Genomic DNA, 17,566 nt, shown 5'->3' on the forward strand with positions numbered 1-17,566 from the left:
ATACTGTCTAGACCCACAAGGAAACTCCTGGGTTGTCATCTAAGAAAGAAATTGGGTTTGATTTTTACCCAAGTGCTTTTTGTCCCTTTGATCATTGCAGGTGGAGAAGACCAAGCTTTCTTCCTCCGAGGAGTTCCCTCAGACTCTGAGCCTTCCCAGAACAACAACTATTTGCTCAGGACATGATGCTGATACCGAAGATGATCCATCCCTAGCAGATTTGCCCCAGGCACTGGACCTCAGCCAGCAGCCTCACAGCTCAGGTCTCTCTTGCCTGTCACAGTGGAAGTCCGTGCTGAGCCCAGGTTCCGCAGCTCAGCCTTCCAGCTGCAGCATCTCTGCTTCCTCCACAGGCAGCAGTCTCCAGGGTCACCAGGAGAGGGCGGAGCCTCGTGGTGGTTCTCTGGCCAAGGTCTCCTCCTCCCTGGAGCCGGTCGTCCCCCAGGAACCTTCCTCTGTGGTGGGGCTAGGACCTCGGCCCCAGTGGTCACCACAGCCTGTGTTCTCTGGGGGTGATGCTTCTGGGCTAGGCAGGAGACGCCTCTCCTTCCAGGCTGAGTACTGGGCCTGTGTGCTGCCAGATTCCCTGCCTCCATCACCCGACCGCCACTCCCCTCTCTGGAACCCAAATAAAGAGTATGAAGATCTGCTTGACTATACTTACCCACTGAGGCCCGGGCCTCAGCTCCCAAAGCACCTTGATAGCCGTGTGCCAGCTGACCCTGTCCTGCAGGACTCCGGGGTAGACCTGGATAGCTTCTCTGTCTCTCCAGCAAGCACCCTCAAATCACCTACTAATGTCTCCCCCAACTGCCCACCAGCAGAGGCCACTGCCCTGCCATTTTCTGGGCCCAGAGAGCCAAGCCTTAAGCAGTGGCCCTCCAGAGTACCCCAGAAACAGGGTGGCATGGGCTTGGCATCTTGGAGCCAACTTGCATCTACCCCCAGAGCCCCAGGCAGTAGGGATGCTCGTTGGGAGCGCAGAGAGCCAGCCCTGAGGGGTGCGAAGGACCGGCTGACTATAGGCAAGCACCTTGATATGGGCTCTCCCCAGCTAAGGACACGGGACAGAGGGTGGCCCTCGCCCAGGCCAGAGAGGGAGAAGAGGACCAGCCAGAGTGCCCGGCGCCCTACCTGCACAGAGTCTAGGTGGAAATCAGAAGAGGAAGTGGAAAGTGATGACGAGTATCTTGCCCTCCCCGCTCGGCTGACACAGGTTTCTAGCCTGGTTTCGTATCTAGGATCCATTTCTACCTTGGTTACCCTGCCCACTGGGGATATCAAAGGGCAGAGCCCCTTGGAAGTGTCAGACAGTGATGGGCCAGCTTCCTTCCCTTCAAGCTCCAGCCAAAGCCAGCTTCCCCCTGGAGCTGCCCTCCAAGGATCTGGGGATCCTGAGGGCCAGAATCCCTGTTTCCTGCGCTCCTTCGTCCGTGCCCACGACTCCGCAGGGGAAGGCAGTCTGGGGAGCAGCCAGGCCCTCGGGGTCTCCTCTGGACTGCTGAAAACACGCCCCTCCTTGCCAGCTAGGTTGGACCGGTGGCCATTCTCAGACCCAGATGTTGAAGGGCAGCTTCCCAGGAAAGGAGGAGAACAGGGAAAAGAATCACTGGTGCAATGTGTGAAGGTAATGACACTCAACGTTAGGAAGCTTTGTGTACAGGTGTCTTGTCTCTTCCCCCAATCCACTAACATCATAATAAAACATGTTCATGTTGACCAGGCACTTTTTATGTGCCAGGCATTGTGCTGTACCTTATCTTATTCAGTCCTCACAACTTTTACCAGGTAAGCACTGTTCTCATTTTACTTTTTGGAGGAAAGAGCAGAGAGAGGTTAGGTAACGTGCCCACTTATAATTAGCAAGGGCTTGAGCCAAGAATGAGACCCAGGTAGACTATTTGCAGAGGCTGAGCTCTTAGCCACTACCCTTGGCTGCTTCCTAACTCAGAGGTATTCTGAACAAAAAAGGTTTTGTGCACAGATGCCTTTAGGAAACACTGGGCTAAACAAAGGTAAGTGGCTTTCTTGACTGCAGGACTTCTAGAGCTTCATTTGCCACAGTGGTTTAAGTGCAAAGTTAGGGGCATTGGATGTACTGTTGCCTAGACTTTGTGGCCACCGGACCATCTTGTGAACCAAATGACTTAATATCTGGAGGTATAAAGAACACTGCGTGGAATAGGGTTATCGGTGTCAGGCATCTGAATTTGAAACATGGCACTGCTGTCTTTGGAATGTTGGCTCAGCCTCTTGAGTTTGCTCATTTGTAAAATGTGGAGCCCTGCCTTCTTAGGATGTTGTGTGCATTAAATAATTCATGTTGAGGGCTTCGGTGCATTCCCAGACATGTTGAAGGTTCAGGAATGTGCCTGTCCAGGAACGTGTCCTAGCGCTTGCGGGGGGCTTTCACCTTCCCAGGAGGTGACGTGGTTATTTTGTCTTGTGAGGTAGGTAGGACACGTTATCATGGACCCCTCTTTACTGATAAAAGATTGAGATGCCATGAGGTAAAGTTGTTCTTCGCTATAGCTTCAGGTTAGTCATGATTTTAGTCATTTATTTTACGTTCACTTTTCCAGAGAAACATGGACGTATCTGGCTCCAAGATGCTGATTCTAGTTAGTAATGGTGCTGATCCAAGAATTGGTTTCCATGGCAGGCACGCCTCTTCTGGGCTGCTCCATTCCTACCTGCAAGGCTGGGTTTTCTCAGCCTGTCATTTTTGATGTCACACCAGGCTGTGGTTTTCATTGCTTTGGCAGAGGGAGGTACAGAGTCGTGGAGTCGGGACAGGTGAGCAAGGAGGAGAGAGGAAACTGAAGGTGCACAGTCTGTCTCCAAGTCCTCCTGATATTTTTAGCCTTTTGATAACATAAATAGCTGTTCGATCAGTAACACCATGTGTCCTTTTATTTGTCTCTGCAGACATTTTGCTGTCAGCTGGAAGAGCTGATCTGCTGGCTGTATAATGTTGCAGATGTTACTGACCACGGGACTGCAGCCAGGTCCAATCTTACAAGTCTCAAGTCTTCTCTGCAGCTTTACCGGGTAATATGCGGTCCTGGCTCTGGCTTGTTCCCTCACAAGAGTGTGGCTAAATTACTCGATTACAAAGTAAAATCTCAAATAACCAATGTCTGGTATGTTATAGCTCAGTTGACTATTATACCTGAAATCTAATTAGAGCTTCACATTCTTAAAGCGGAACGCTTTGTAAAATGCATGAATTATTTCCCAGGCCAAATGGAGCTTGAAGATACAATATATTTATCTCAAATCAAAAATACTTTAGGTTTTGGGCTGGCAGGTGCAGTGGGACAAGTCTTTTATCCCAGCTACTCTGGAAGCTGAGACAGGAAGATTGCTTGAGCCCAGGAGTTCGAGTACAGCCTGAGCAACATAGCAAGACCCCCCCCCCTCAAAAAAAAGTTTTTTCTTAATTAAAAACAAAAATACTTTAGGGTGATTTGCAATATAATTTTCCAAATGTCTCAGGGATTATAAATACAGACTTGCACTATTATGACGCCTCTAGTTATGTATGGCTATTGAAGTAAAATTAAAGACTCAGATTTTTTTATTTGCACTAGCCACATTCTGCATGTTCAACCATCACATTTGTCTAGTGGCTACCACGTAGAACAGTGCAGATGTAGAACACTTCCATCACCACATAAAGTCCTATTGGACTGCACCACTATTTAAAGATCTGAGCTGAAATTGTACTGACTCCAGAATCTACAATAGGGCATTTTGATGGTATTTAAATAGAAATCTAGGCCAGGCACCTTGGCTCACACTATTAATCCCAGCACTTTGGGATGCTGAGGCTGGAGGATCGCTTGAGCCCGGGAGTTCCAGACCAGCCTGGGCAATATAGTGAGACCTCGTCTCTACAGAAAAAAAAAAAAAAAACATAAAAAATTAGCTGAGTGTGGTGGCATGCACTAGCAGGAGGATCACTGGAACCCGGCAGGCAGAGGCTACAGTGAGCCAAAATCACACCACTGCACTCCAGCCTGGGCCACAGACCGAGACCGTCTCAAAAAACAAACAAAAACTCTGACGTCAGTTTGTGTGCGTGTGTATGTATTTGGGTTTGGTTTTAGTTTTCTTGTTTCTTTTTCATTAAGATTTTGTTATTTTGAAAATACTAATGTGGATTTTTGTTAACTTGGTCCTAGATTTAGGATGACTGCGTCCCAGTTTGTGCCTGTTGTTCTGGCATAATAATAGGTCCCCTTTCAGTCTCAGAAGTGTCCTGAATTGGAGGATAAATTATATAGTTGTCATCCCTAAGTCTAACGTTAACCTTGGCTGAACTCCTGCCTTCTAGCATATCTGGTTGGCTGCACCTTTCTAATCTCTTCATGAAGAAGCAGAGGGATATCCATGGTCTGAGCCTGAGGCTAGTCTGGAAGGAGTTTTCTAAAACAATTCTTTGAATTCCTACAACCTTATAACCTGACCATATCTTCAGCAGCAGAGGACACAATTTACATGTGCTTGGGCCAGGGCTGAGCTGACTGAGGGCCTTCCTGGGACCGTACTCCAGCTAGAGGAAGGGAGGGGCTTTGTTTTCCAACTTGGGGCCAACTAAAGTGTAGGGAGGAGCCTTGCTTGACCTGGGCAGGCTGGGCCAGCTGCTCCACCCTACTGGGAATGCTGTTTCCTGCAGTGTGGAGAGAGGTTGCTTTGAGTTCCTCACTTTGAGGAACTCCACAATGAGTTCCTCTCCACACTGCAGGAAACAGCATTCCCACTAGGGTGGAGTGAGCTTGAGGAAGGAGAGAAAGGCTGACTCCAAGGGTCCTGTATGCAGACTCCACGTGCATGCACGCAGCTGTGCAGGGCCCAGGACCAGTACCACTACAGAGAGAGGAAGCTGCCCTGGTAGACCTAGCTTAGTGGCCTTTCCTGGCTTGTCAGAGCAGGTGCAAACAGAATAATTCCATCCCTCCGTCTTATCCCTCCTGCCAGCCTTCTGTACCTCAGCTTCTAGGCTAGACGGAAACAACCAGCTTGCTTTGTAGGTAGAGCTGAGATTTGAGCTGGGAGTCACTCGTGCAGGTCAGTGAGGCATAGGCCTCTTGTGTCACCCATACAGCTGTCACAAAGTGGGACTGTACTGCTAGCCCCTTGCCCGCACAGAATTGTGCATGGCTCATGCGTATGTGTGTGCTATCTTGACTCCTGCTTGGATTAAGACCTAGTATAAGCGAGCGTGTCTGTGTTCACATATTTTAACTGTGACTCATTTTCTTATATACTTGTATTTTGTCTTAACACGGGGTTGCAGCAGCACATAAACCACACTACAGTACTAGAGAATAAAATAATAAGTATAGGTATCAGGGTAAAGGAAAACTGAAGACAGGAAAATAGTAAATCCAAGGGTAAAACTATCACTTCAAAATGGTAAAACACCAAGTTCTGGCTGGGCACGGTGGCTCATACCTGTAATCCCAGTACTTTGGGAGCCTGAGGCAGGTGGATCACTTGAGTTCAGGGGTTTGAGACCAGCCTGGGCAAAATAGTGAGACCCTGTCTCTATTTCTGTTAAAAATTTAAAAATTTATAAAAATCAGTCACCAAGTTCTACACCTTGCACTAAGGGTGGTCATGGATTTGACTTTACCTTTTTTTTTTTTTTTTTTTGAGACGGAGCCTCTCTTACTGCCCAGGCTGGAGTGCAATGGTGTGATCTCGGCTCACTGCAACCCCTGCCTCCCAGGTTCAAGCGATTCTCCTGCCTCACCCTCCCGAGTAGCTGGGATTACAGGCATGCACCACCACACCCGGCTAATTTTTTTGTATTTTTAGTAGAGACGGGGTTTCTCCATGTTGGTCAGGCTGGTCTCAAACTCCTGACCTCAGGTGATCCGCCCACCTTGGCCTCCCAGAGTGCTGGGATTACAGGTGTGAGCCACCGCGCCTGGCTGACTTTACACTTCTTAACTGCTAAACAAACATCAAGAACACCAGCTCGGTAGCCAAGAGGGGAAAGCAAATGAGTTGCTTGGGAAACTCACAGCTTCCCAGATGTTGAGGTAGTTACCCCTGTGGTCTGCACAGAGCAAAGACATGGAGGGAGGAGCAGAGGTAGAGACAGTGGCTCCCTGCGGTCAGTTTAATGGCAGATCTCCTGTGGTCCATTAGAATGGAATAAATTCTGAGACTCCCATAGCCCTGAATTAAAAGAGAACCCCATGAGGTGAGGGCGCTAGAAGGAGACCCTAACTCCAAGCTGTTTGTGAGCCAGCCTCTGTCAGGGAAGATGCTTCTGATGTCAAACTAAACAGGAAAAACTACTGACTCTATTTACCTTGGGTTCAAAGAAGCTGAAGTTAAACTGTTGCACTGTTTACTTGGGGAATTCTGCAGACCTGATGGGGTGAATCTTACACATTAGAGGGGAATAAGGCTTCCCTACATGCTGTGCTTTTCAAATAACGTTTACAAAACAATAGTAACGAAGCTTCTGCCTTTTCTTTTTCTGATACGCCTTAAGCAATTTAAGAAAGATATAGATGAACATCAGTCTCTGACGGAGAGTGTCTTACAGAAGGGGGAGATTCTTCTTCAGTGCCTGTTGGAGAACACCCCAGGTGAGATGCTTAAGGTTTTGGATTTAGCCAGAGCTTAATCCCTGTCAGCAGCAGGCCCAGGGACCGCACTATCCCTGGTAAGGAGCTGGTACCACAAGAGCCCCTGCCCACACCCACTGCCCGAGATGCCCCATGCCCCATCTGCCAGCTCCACGCGTCGCTGCCCATCACTGCCCCTACACACCTGCTTAGAGGCAGTCATGGTTATAAAACCAAGCCCATTACAAATTAGGCATTGAGCCTGCAAGAATGACGCTGTCTTTTGCTTCTGCTTTTGTATTTTTCTGGTGGTAGTCTGGGTAGGAATCCTAGTATTAATCCACCATCCTTAGTTTGTGGCTAGGGTATTTAGTGGGTATCCCTTTGGTTCCCCACCTTACCTAGCCCAGGTTGAATTCCTCTCTGATTATCTGCCTTGTGTCCTGCTTTGGGGAAATAGTTGTTTCAGAAAAGGATTGTATTGCTCAAAAGTATCTGAGGACAGTCAGTCTGTCCTCAGGGAACAGATTGAATGAAGAACTGATGAGAGGGGACAGGGTGGCAGTAGTGTGCAAACCAAGCTCAAGCCCCTTTTTGTTTTGTTTTGCTTTTGAGATGGAGTTTCGCTCTTGTTGCCAAGGCTGGAGTGCAGTGGTGCCATCTTGGCTCACCGCAAGTTCACCTGCCTCCCAGGTTCAAGTGATTCTTCTGCCTCAGCCTCCTGAGTAGCTGGGATTACAGGCATGCGCCACCATGCCCGGCTATTTTTTTTGTGTTTTTAGTACAGATGAGGTTTCTCCATGTTGGTCAGGCCTGTCTTGAACTCCCTATCTCAGGTGATTCGCCTGCCTCAGCCTCCCAGAGTGCTGGGATTACAGGCGTGAGCCACTGCACCCAGCCACTTGAGCCCATTTTGTAGGATGGGTTCCCCATTTAGGAAAGTGAAAATCACAGACCTCAGGCATGTATCTAAGCATGCTGGGTGCCAAGGATTTACAGTTTTCATTGTCTTTACAGGACGAGGGCATGGGGGATGAGGATATGATAGGGAGGATGAGCTAAGAGAATGGTAGGGTAAAGCCTTGAACTGATGGCAGCCCCTAATTTCCTGCAAGACTGTAAATCAAGTGCTGACAGCCTGCCTATATTATGCCTCATTTTACATTTTTGAGTGAGATGGGATTTATACTGGAATACAACCGCCGAAGCAAAGCTGGGCAGGTCCCACGGGCTTGAGAGGCAATGAGGAGGCACTTTCCTGACCAGCATGGTGGGCAGGTGCATACCGTGAAGGGTGTACAGCAGGATTTCTCAGCCTTGGCGCTTTTGCCATATTGGCCGCATGATTTTGTGGGGAATTGTCCTATGCATTGCAGGATGTTTAGCAGCACCCCTGGCCCCAGTAAATCCCTGCTTCCCCCACAGTTGTGACAACCCAAAATGTTTCTACACATTGCTAAGTGTACCCTGGGAAGAAAAATCTCTAGGGTTGAGAGGCATCAGTGGACAGGGACCACTGAATAGTTTTCAGCAGGTAAGTGATTCTCTAGTGTGAATTATATGAGCTCTTTGCAATCCCCTGCCCTTTTAAGGCCTTTGTTTTGGCTCTTCTGGCATTTTCACTAGGGTTCTTAGATTTTTTATTGGGGCAGAAATTCCATGTGCCAAGCTCCTTTGCTGCATGTAATTTACACCAGCATTTTACTGAAGCAGTTGGCACATCAGTGTTCTCCATTTAATCACAGCCCTGTGAGATGGATAGTTGTGGATTTGCCACAGGCCACAGGAGAAGTGGCAGCCTGGCAGAGCCCCTGGGCACTGGCTTTCCGCAGCTTCCCAGTGTCTGGAGGTGCAGAGGCCTGAGCGGCTCCTCTCTTCACAGAGGCCATGTGTAAAAGTAGGCCTCTAGTCCGGACACGGTGGTTCACGCCTGTAATCCCAGCACTTTGGGAGGCCAAGGTGGGCAGATCACCTGAGATCGGGAGTTTGAGACCAGCCTGACCAACATGGAGAAACCCCGTCTCTACTAAAAATACAAAATTAGCTGGGCGTGGTGGGGAGCACCTGTAATCCCAGCCACTCTGGAGGCTGAGGCAGGTGAATCGCTTGAACCCAGGAGGTGGAAGTTGCAGCGAGCTGAGATTGCGCCATTGCACTCCAGCCTGGGCAACAAGAGCGAAATTCCTTCTCAAAAAAAAAAAAGGCCTCTTAAAAGCTTCAGGTTTTTTGACCTTCATTTTAAAATCAATTTAATAATACTTTTCTGTGCTTAGTCCCACTTTGCTCTCTCAAGAGGTTTTTTACTGGCTTTGGGGTTTTCTTTGGTTTTCAGATATGTATCCAGGCTCTTTCAGATTGACACACAGCCCTTCCCCATCCATCTGCTTGAAATAATCAGGAATGTGGCTGTTTCCCCCTTGAGACGTCAGTGTCTGTCTCCAGCGGGTGCAAAACTTAACTTTTCTTCCGCCAGGAGCATGCTGTCAAAAGTCCATAGAGCCAGCCTACAAACATGTTTTGTTCCAGTCCTTCCCAACTTCTTTTATTTGGCCCCAACCAAACATTCTGACAGTCTAAATAAAAGTTCAAAAGCGTCCGTGCGCAGTGGCTCACGCCTGTAATCTCAACACTTTGGGAGGCCAAGCGGGCAGATCACCTGAGGGCAGGAGTTCAAGACCAGCCTGGCCAACATGGCGAAACCCCATCTCTACTAAAAGTAAAAAAATTAGCTGGGCATGGTGGCGGGCGCCTGTAATCCCAGCTACTCAGGAGGCTGGGGCAGGAGAGTCGCTTGAACCCGGGAGGCAGAGGTTGCAGTGAGCCGAGATCACGCCACTGTACTCCAGCCTGGGCAACAAGAGTAAGACTCCGTCTCAAAATAAATAGATAAATAAAAGTTCAAAAACATAAAGTTGTCCCTGAACCAATGTTTCTGTGACATCGCACAAGAAGACTGGGCAAAGGTCTAATGAAACCAGAGGGGTTAGCCAGCTGCGGTGGCTCATGCCTGTAATCCCAGCACTTTGGGAGGCCAAGGCGGGTGGATCACCTGAGGTCAGGAGTTCGAGACCAGCCTGGCCAGCATGACGAAACCCTGTCTCTACTAAAAATACAAATATTAGCCGGGCGTGGTGGTGGGCGCCAGTAATTCCAACTACTGGGGAGGATGAGGCAGGAGAATCGCTTGAACCTGGGAGGCGGAGGTTTTAGTGAGCCGAGATTTGTGCCGCTGCACTCCAGCCTGGGTGACAGAGTGAGACTCCATCTCAAAAAAAAAAAAAAAGAAACTGGAGGGTAGAACCCAGCCCAGCCACCCTTACAGCCAAGCTTTACCGTGCGCCTGACTGCAATCCTCTGCCACACTCTGCCAACTCTCTTTGTGGACAGCACTTTGCCCTGATGACACCGCACTGATGTGGCTTCCCTAGGAGATCTCAATACAGCCAGCCTGTGTTCCTTCTCCTTCTACTCATCCAGTCAGCATTGTCTGCAGATAAGCTTCCTCTTTCCCTTCCTCTACTGACAGATGTTACAGCTGTGGCAGGAAACTAGGGAGAGTATAAGCACAGCTGATAAAGGTGCAGGAAACTAAGACAGCCTTTGTGCTTAACAAAAATAAATTTTTGAAAAAAGAAAGAAAAAAGCCTGCTGTGTGAGATGCACTCTGACCCTAGCCCATCCCTTCCTCACATGAACAACAATTCTGACACTGCGGGAGTGAATCTTCCCTTAGACTGCTTTCGGGTCATTTTTTTGTTTTGTTTTGTTTTTGAGACAGAGTTGCACTCTTGTTGCCCAGGCTGGAGTGCGATGGCACAGTCTTGGCTCACCACAACCTCTGCCTCCCGGGTTCAAGCCATTCTGCCTCAGCCTCCCGTGTAGCTGGGATTACAGGCATGCGCCACCACACCCGGCTAATTTTTTTATATTTTTAGTAGAGACGGGGTTTCTCCATGTTGGTCAGGCTGGTCTCCAACTCCTGACCTCAGGCAATCCATCCGCCTTGGCCTCCCAAAGTGTTGTTGGGATTACAGGCGTGAGCCACTGCGCCTGGCCAGGTCATTTTCTTTTTCAGTCTGTTCACTGAGGCCCACAAAACAAAGGGTCTCAAGCACTCCCAAATCTATTACAGACCACCCATGTGAAATAACATTCTTCCCAGCCAATAGAAACTGATAGACCTGGTAGCAGGGGTAAGCATCTGAACCTTGGCATGTCGTTTTATTTAAGCCTTATGCCCAAGAGGATCTGGATGTGCCCTTACAGAGATACCTGTCTTACCTCTAAAGTCAGGTAATACCAGCCATCAGAAAACCATAATATCTCTGTGCCCTTCTGTGAATTACGTAATTTCAAAGTGGAGTCAGTGAGTTCTTTTCTTAGCTTTAATCAGAAGTTAACAACATAGGTTCTCCAGTGCAACAGAAGTCCCTGGAGAATCACTGTTAAAAAAGGGCAGACATTCAGAAACTACTGCCAGGTCCTACTTTGTGTAAAATACTATACCCTTGTATGTTCTTTTGAAAATGCTTACTGGACAACACTTGCATGGGTTTTATTTCTGGTTTAATTTCTTTGAACCTCATTGTTAGTTTTAGAGGATGTCCTTGGGAGGATCGCAAAGCAGTCTGGTGAGCTGGAGAGCCACGCAGATCGCCTGTATGACTCTATCTTGGCCTCTCTGGACATGCTGGCTGGCTGCACCCTTATCCCTGACAAAAAGCCCATGGCGGCAATGGAGCACCCATGTGAAGGGGTTTAACCTGGTAAGTGGAGGAACTCAAAAAGAAAATTTGCCCACCAACCCTGCTGTAACAGTTGGCCACTACTTAGAAGCTTGTTGAGCCAAGAACTATTATTTAAACAAATGAGATACTGGAAGAAGACAGCCAATGGTACTAAAAAAGGAGTTGCTGGTCTTCCTATGATGATGAAGGCTCACTGCGGTGCTTTCCATTACTGTTCACCCCTGCTGCCTGCTGAGGATGAGGGTGCCTCTGTGCTGCCATTTCTATGGCACTTTCTTCACCACCAACCCTGCCATCCCAAGACAAGAGCAGCACAACTTATCTGTACACCTACTTTATTTCTGCACAGGTACACTTTTCCAGTATGGGGCCATGACCTGGCCACCCCTGTTCTGCAGGATCTTCTCCCCAGCTCATTTGGTACTCCATCTCCAAGCATCTCTGACAGCACCAAGTGCTTAGAGAAACCCAGAGTTACTGATAACTTTGCACCACCACCCCTGCCCTGCACAAAGGGTCTCCACATATCTCCCACACCACTCCCTTCCAAAAAGGCTAGGGGGATGGAGGGGTTAAAGACACCTTGGAGACTTAACTGGTAGTACAACTTTCTTTTGCTCCCTTGAGAAAGTCAAACAGAATGACAGAAAAGGAGCTAGGAGAGCAAAGGTGGGTGTGTCCACCACAGAGTTGCTACTGCCAATGCTTTTCATAATTCTGCAATTGGACTGTCGTACGTCGCTCCTACAACAAAATGTTTGTAGTGCTTAACTCATAGATTTTCTAGGTGAGCACTATAGGTATGCTAAGAGCAGGGAGTCCCTGTGTTTTTATCAGAGCAACTGTGAGACGTCATCTTGGTTCTAAAATGAATGCAGGGGACTGCTGTTGTCGTTTCTTCCTCTACAACATTATGCCTGTAACAAATGCTGCCTTTTCTCTTTCAGGCATCTTCTCAGGCAGAGGTGCAACCTGTCGGCCAAACACTGGCTAGTGAGAAAAAAAACCTTCAAGAAGTCCTTGCAAGAGCCATTCAACACTGAAGTCAAGGGGGAAACCTTCAATATACTAGCTTTAAAATGCCTTTCTCCTCCCTGAATGGAGGGCTGAGTTACTATTTTTATTTACAATGAATCCTTCCAAACTAAGGTTTTCCTTTTGGTGCTTCTCCACAAAGAGCGTGTAGCTTTGCAATTTTTGATAAAATAAGACGTGTTGCCTTCCCCTCTATCCCATTAAAAAAGAGCAGATAAAGCTCAAACTATTCCACCTGGTAGGGTCATTTACCAAGGGCTGGTAGGAGATTCCGAATACTCAATATTCTCAGGCATGCAAGAGGACCTAAGAGACTGAAAAAAGTGAATTGTTGGCCAGAAACCTTGGGTCTTTTCATAAAAGGAAATTTGGGCTTGTCAATCCCTCTTTAAAGATATAGGTAGAAAGAAGAGATTTTTAACCCTTTGTCTGCAAAAGAAAAAGGGTTAAATGAAGCATCTATACAGATGACTTTGGGAGATTATGACACCTTTTGCCATCTTCAGGGCTTACGTCTTTACTTTCTTGGCTAACCAGTTTCTTAGAAGAAAATGTGTCAGGGACTTGGGGATCTACAGTCATGCTTTAGCATGGCTATGGAGCTAATTATCAAGCTTAAAGGGTAACTTTGGGAGGACTCCTCCCTTCACTCCTAGTCTCCCTTGGAAGAGCAGTCCAGGCTCAGGGAAGGGAACGGATAGGATGACACAGTAAGTACAGAAACTGAAGCTGTCAATAGTGAAGGAAAAAGGGGAATTCTTCGTTGCTTTGGCATTGACACATAAGTACTTTGATTAAAAAAAAAAAAAACTATGGATCAACCATTCAAAGCATCAATTCTATAGCTTTTTGCAGCAAGATGATCAGTTATTGCTGGTAACTGCAGATTCTACAGAAAAGCACTTTTAAAGTTCTGTTGGGCCATGAATGAACCTGGAAGGAGGAAAGCACAGTAACAATGGAAACTAAAGTCCTATTATTAATGTGACTTTTCTGCTTCAGAATTTCTGAGACTTTATAGTCACTGGAAAATAGCCATTAAATTCTTTAAAGATTAGCTCTTCAACAGTAGCTACACATAAAATGCAGTATTTCAAGTGCCTGATGCTGCTGTGGTATGCTTTATCATAATGCTTAAGGGCATGATCAAAATTAAAATGGCTTATGAGTTTGCCATATTAATCATCTTAGTTCCATACACACTGAGACTTTAAAAGGGAAAAACCACTCTAGCAAATAATTGTCAATTATAAACCTGTATGTAAAACATTCTTGAAAACCTAGAGTTGGTTAAAAAGGTAGAGATGTCTGACGGCCTCTTCTTAAATTGATATATTTTACCTTCTCTTAGATGTACATTTATAAGTAGGAACATGTCCTTCCACTGAGTATGTTACTGAATAGCCCTTAGGAAATTAAACCCATTTATTTACTAATATTTGACAGGCATAGAAGTGTATTAATTAGCATAAAAGTTGGAGATGAAAACCCTATAGAAACAAATTGGCCAATATTATACTAATTGAATGCAGAATGTGGCATTCTATTCCCATTCAACTAATAATCAGCTTCAACTGACAGGAATTTGCACAGAATGTTACACAATACCCTGTTTCCCAAGAAAGTACTACCTTACCTAGAGATGATCTAAGATATTTTTGTTCATCCTCTGAATAAGGTGAGACTAAAGGGTGCTAACTCCCTGGACCTGGCTGTGAATGCTACTGAAGAGTATCAACACAACTGTTAATTATACCGCCGTGCTTTAAGTTTAAGACTTACCTTAAAACTCAAGCTGAAGGCTGGGCACGGTGGCTCATGCCTGTAATCCCAGCACTTTGGGAGGCCGAGGCGGGTGGATCACAAGGTCAGGAGATCGAGACCATCCTGGCTAACACGGTGAAACCCCATCTCTACTAAAAATACAAAAAGAAATTAGCCAGGCGTGGTGATGGGCGCCTGTAGTCCCAGCTACTTGGGAGGCTGAGGCATGAGAATGGCATGAACCCGGGAGGCGGAGCTTGCAGTGAGCTGAGATGGCACCACTGCACTCCAGCCTGGGCAACAGAGTGAGACTCTTGTCTCAAAAAAAAAAAATCAAGCTGAAATTGTTTCAGCCTAGTAAGATGCTGCCAGCAGCATTTCTATGAGCAAACATGGCCAAATTAGAGTCAAGTAGCTGAGCTTGCTAACTGCACTGTGATGCCACACTGGAATAACTTAGTAGTCCCTTAAAATTAATGGAAGTTAAATCCACAGGGAAGTGATGATACTCAAAGCTGGATCAGCAGTTTCAAGATCTGGGTTCTTGGAGATCCATAGGTAAGCTCAGCAAATGGAAGACGACGTCAACACGGCTATTTTGAAGCTTAGGTGGGAATGGAACACAAAGAAGGTTTGAGGTAAGATATGCTGGAAAGGCAAGATGTAGGCTAAGGGAAATTCAATCCAAGGTCGAAGAATAGGAAATTACTGCTCAGACCACAATGACTATCATTCTGAAAGGATTTCACAGAGTGTGCAGCTGCTTAGATTTAAGAACACTCTTCTTCACTATGTAAACTAATTTATGGCAGCACCTTATATTTAGAACAAGTGGTAATTCCCTTTACTAAGTGAACAGATTATTAAAACCTGTAGTAGCTTTGAACCGTTTGTACTTGAAAATGGGGGTATAAAGGGGTATATATTTTTTCCAGAACCACATTTATTGGCGTATACATAGAAGCAAATCTTAAGGCATGCTGAAATTTGTTGTAAATCCCAATCTTTACTGCCATGGGGAAAAGAACGCTGGAATTTTCCAAACTTAAGTCTGTAAATATGCTCATCTTAAGTTCATGTAATGTTTCCGCTAACTCACCAAGAATAAGCTGACAATTTAAACAACTTTTACTGTGTAAAAATGAAGTGCACGGCATGGCATCACAGTATCTTGACATTTGTTTTGTGTCATTTAGCTACTTTAGAAAATAGTTTCTGAACTCTTTCCCCCTTTATACTGTATTAAGGCAAAAACAAAACTTCTGAAGCATTAAAGATCTTCACCAAAATAACTATTGGTAACTTCAGGAATTTGTCAGTTGCCTTATGTGAGGATGAATAGATCCACCAAGCACGCCTATAATACAAAGTAAACTATGATTTTTATTGTGAAATTTTCATAGATGGAAAATTGAATATTCTGTCCATTTCATTTTACAATTATCTTACCACTTATTTTTGTACCATGTATTTCAATTGCCTGTTTAGTGAAAAATAAAAATTAAAAAAACCTATTCATTTTTGGCTTGTGTTTAGCTTAAATTTTATCATTAAATTAAGGAGCCCACAACAAAATGTGTTGCCAGCAGCCATATCCCAAGCCCCTGCGTGAAGAATGTTTTGGCTGCTATTTCAACCTAAGGAAACAACGTTTGACCTCAGTCACCTTAAAATGCCAGTGTGGGCAGAAGATTTTTTATTCCTCACAATTAAAAACCAAACAAAACCCCCTAGGATCTTGAAGGTCCTATTTCAGAAAATCTTCATATATGCAAAATGTCACCAAAATAAATACATTTGCCTCAATTATCATTACCACCCAGTATTCATGTTTTAATTTTTAGGGATATAATTTCTAAATTTAGAGCAATCAAATTTCCTGCTTCCTATCTTAATGCTTAAACCCTCCTCCAACACCAAGTTAAGCAACTGTGGAGGATAAAATAGTTGAATCTGACTGAAAGCATGGAAGAAAAACATTAGCACACATTAGTCTGATCATTTGCCAATTAGGAAAGGTGCTGCTTTCTACCTCTACCACAGATGCATTTATGAAATGTTGATCAATGAAGCTATTTCAAATGGTTTTAGAGAAGGATCAGAGATAACGGGCTAGATAGCATACATTCTAAACTTGTTTTACATATAGTTTGAGCTCCCTGAACCACTGAAGTTGGTTAAATCCCTACACAGCACAGAAGCCCCTCTAGGTCATGTTATTGGGCATATTATCTAGAAAGCAAATACTGGATGCTGCTCTAAGATAGGTCTAGAATACCTTAGTTTGCATTGTGCACACACAAATGGCTGTGTTGAATATAATGCAAGGCTCTATTTCCCTTTAACCATAAGAATCAAAACAATACTTATCACCATACAGTTTGATATTACTTCCAATAAGTACAATATTTATTAAACATATCTTCAGTTGTTTTGTTACATAGTGTGCAACAAATTACAATATTCTGCAGCCACAAATTATATGCAGAGTATGAAGAAACTATTAATCAGATAGTGTAATCTTTCCATTTATAACTCTACAAGGAAGAACTAGCAAATCAGATCTTACATATAACATCTCACTAAACTTTATGCATGGAAAGTGACAGACACTGCTTGTGCTGTTTGATACAAAATGGCTGAACTTCATCTTCAGAAGACTAAACCTGACATCTAAACATGCCAATATAAACATCAAAACAAAATATATTCTAACCAACCACGGGAAACAGTCTGGTATCAGGAAAGCAACAAGGATTACACACATTATTTTATAAACCAGCACACAAAGGTTTAAAACAGTTCTGAAAATGAAGTTAGCTGTCTTGAGTCAAGGGAATAAAAAAAAAGTCAGTATTGACCATTTACAATCTCTGACCTTTGTGGAGACGGTAAGAATCTGTTGTAGTGCAGCTACATACAGTACAATTCAGGCAATTTTGTTTTTTCACTTGGGTTCAGATTGCAAATTCATTGCTGTGAGAAAAGGATGGAGGCAAATTTTAGCAGCAACCTCCACCTGACTGCTTGACTGGAGTGCTCTGAATTTTAACATTGGACTTCTCAGCACCACCAGCTGTTGCTCCGGGACCCATTCGCTTTTTAATCTCAGCTGCCATCGTCATGAAAGACTGTTCTACATTCGTTGCATTCTTAGCACTGGTTTCCAAAAACGGAATTCCAAGGGAATCAGCAAATTCCTAAGAGAATAATGAGGCACAATTAACACTGAAAAATCTTTTTCACTAATTCTTAGTGCATTTCTACCATCCATAATGGAGCGTGAGGAACTAAGTTCATTGGATCCAAACAGATGCTACACAAATTGTCACTGTCACAGTATTCTAGTGCACATATTTTTAAAAGGCTGTGGCCTTACTGTTACTGCAGAACCCATACATAATTCAACACCTTCAAATTCAGTATGAA

At 45.2% G+C, this 17,566-nt stretch overlaps 2 protein-coding genes across 8 annotated transcripts in view, besides 1 other annotated feature; one reads left to right on the forward strand and one right to left on the reverse strand.

Moving 5' to 3' along the window:
- The window catches only part of CEP68 (centrosomal protein 68), a 30,589-nt gene extending 14,938 nt beyond the window's left edge, over positions 1–15,651 (forward strand). For 2 of the 5 annotated variants that reach the window (NM_015147.3, NM_001319100.2), the window contains exons 3-7: positions 101–1,627; positions 2,929–3,051; positions 6,515–6,611; positions 11,183–11,356; positions 12,286–15,651. In NM_015147.3, coding sequence (NP_055962.2) covers positions 101–1,627; positions 2,929–3,051; positions 6,515–6,611; positions 11,183–11,352 — 1,917 coding nt within the window. In that variant the 3' untranslated portion in view covers positions 11,353–11,356; positions 12,286–15,651. Of the gene's footprint in view, positions 1–100; positions 1,628–2,928; positions 3,052–6,514; positions 6,612–8,922; positions 9,498–11,182; positions 11,357–12,285 lie in introns of those variants that run through there. The other 3 variants (NM_001319101.2, NR_134966.2, NM_001410838.1) reach the window with 3 other exon arrangements.
- Positions 5,846–6,556: an enhancer, noted in NCBI's record as "OCT4-NANOG-H3K4me1 hESC enhancer chr2:65304333-65305043 (GRCh37/hg19 assembly coordinates)". NCBI's record gives its function as "activates a minimal SCP1, AML or CMV promoter by ChIP-STARR-seq in primed H9 embryonic stem cells {active_cell/tissue: H9 hESC(primed)}" and the evidence as "EXISTENCE:reporter gene assay evidence [ECO:0000049][PMID:30033119]".
- RAB1A (RAB1A, member RAS oncogene family) overlaps positions 15,501–17,566 on the reverse strand; it is a 43,253-nt gene continuing 41,187 nt past the window's right edge. For all 3 annotated transcript variants that reach the window (NM_015543.2, XM_005264468.3, NM_004161.5), the window contains one exon: positions 15,501–17,337. In NM_015543.2, coding sequence (NP_056358.1) covers positions 17,140–17,337 — 198 coding nt within the window. In that variant the 3' untranslated portion in view covers positions 15,501–17,139. The remainder of the gene's footprint in view (positions 17,338–17,566) is intronic.

The sequence above is a fragment of the Homo sapiens genome, chromosome 2 (assembly GCF_000001405.40).
Source record: "Homo sapiens chromosome 2, GRCh38.p14 Primary Assembly".
Classification (NCBI taxonomy): domain Eukaryota; kingdom Metazoa; phylum Chordata; class Mammalia; order Primates; family Hominidae; genus Homo; species Homo sapiens.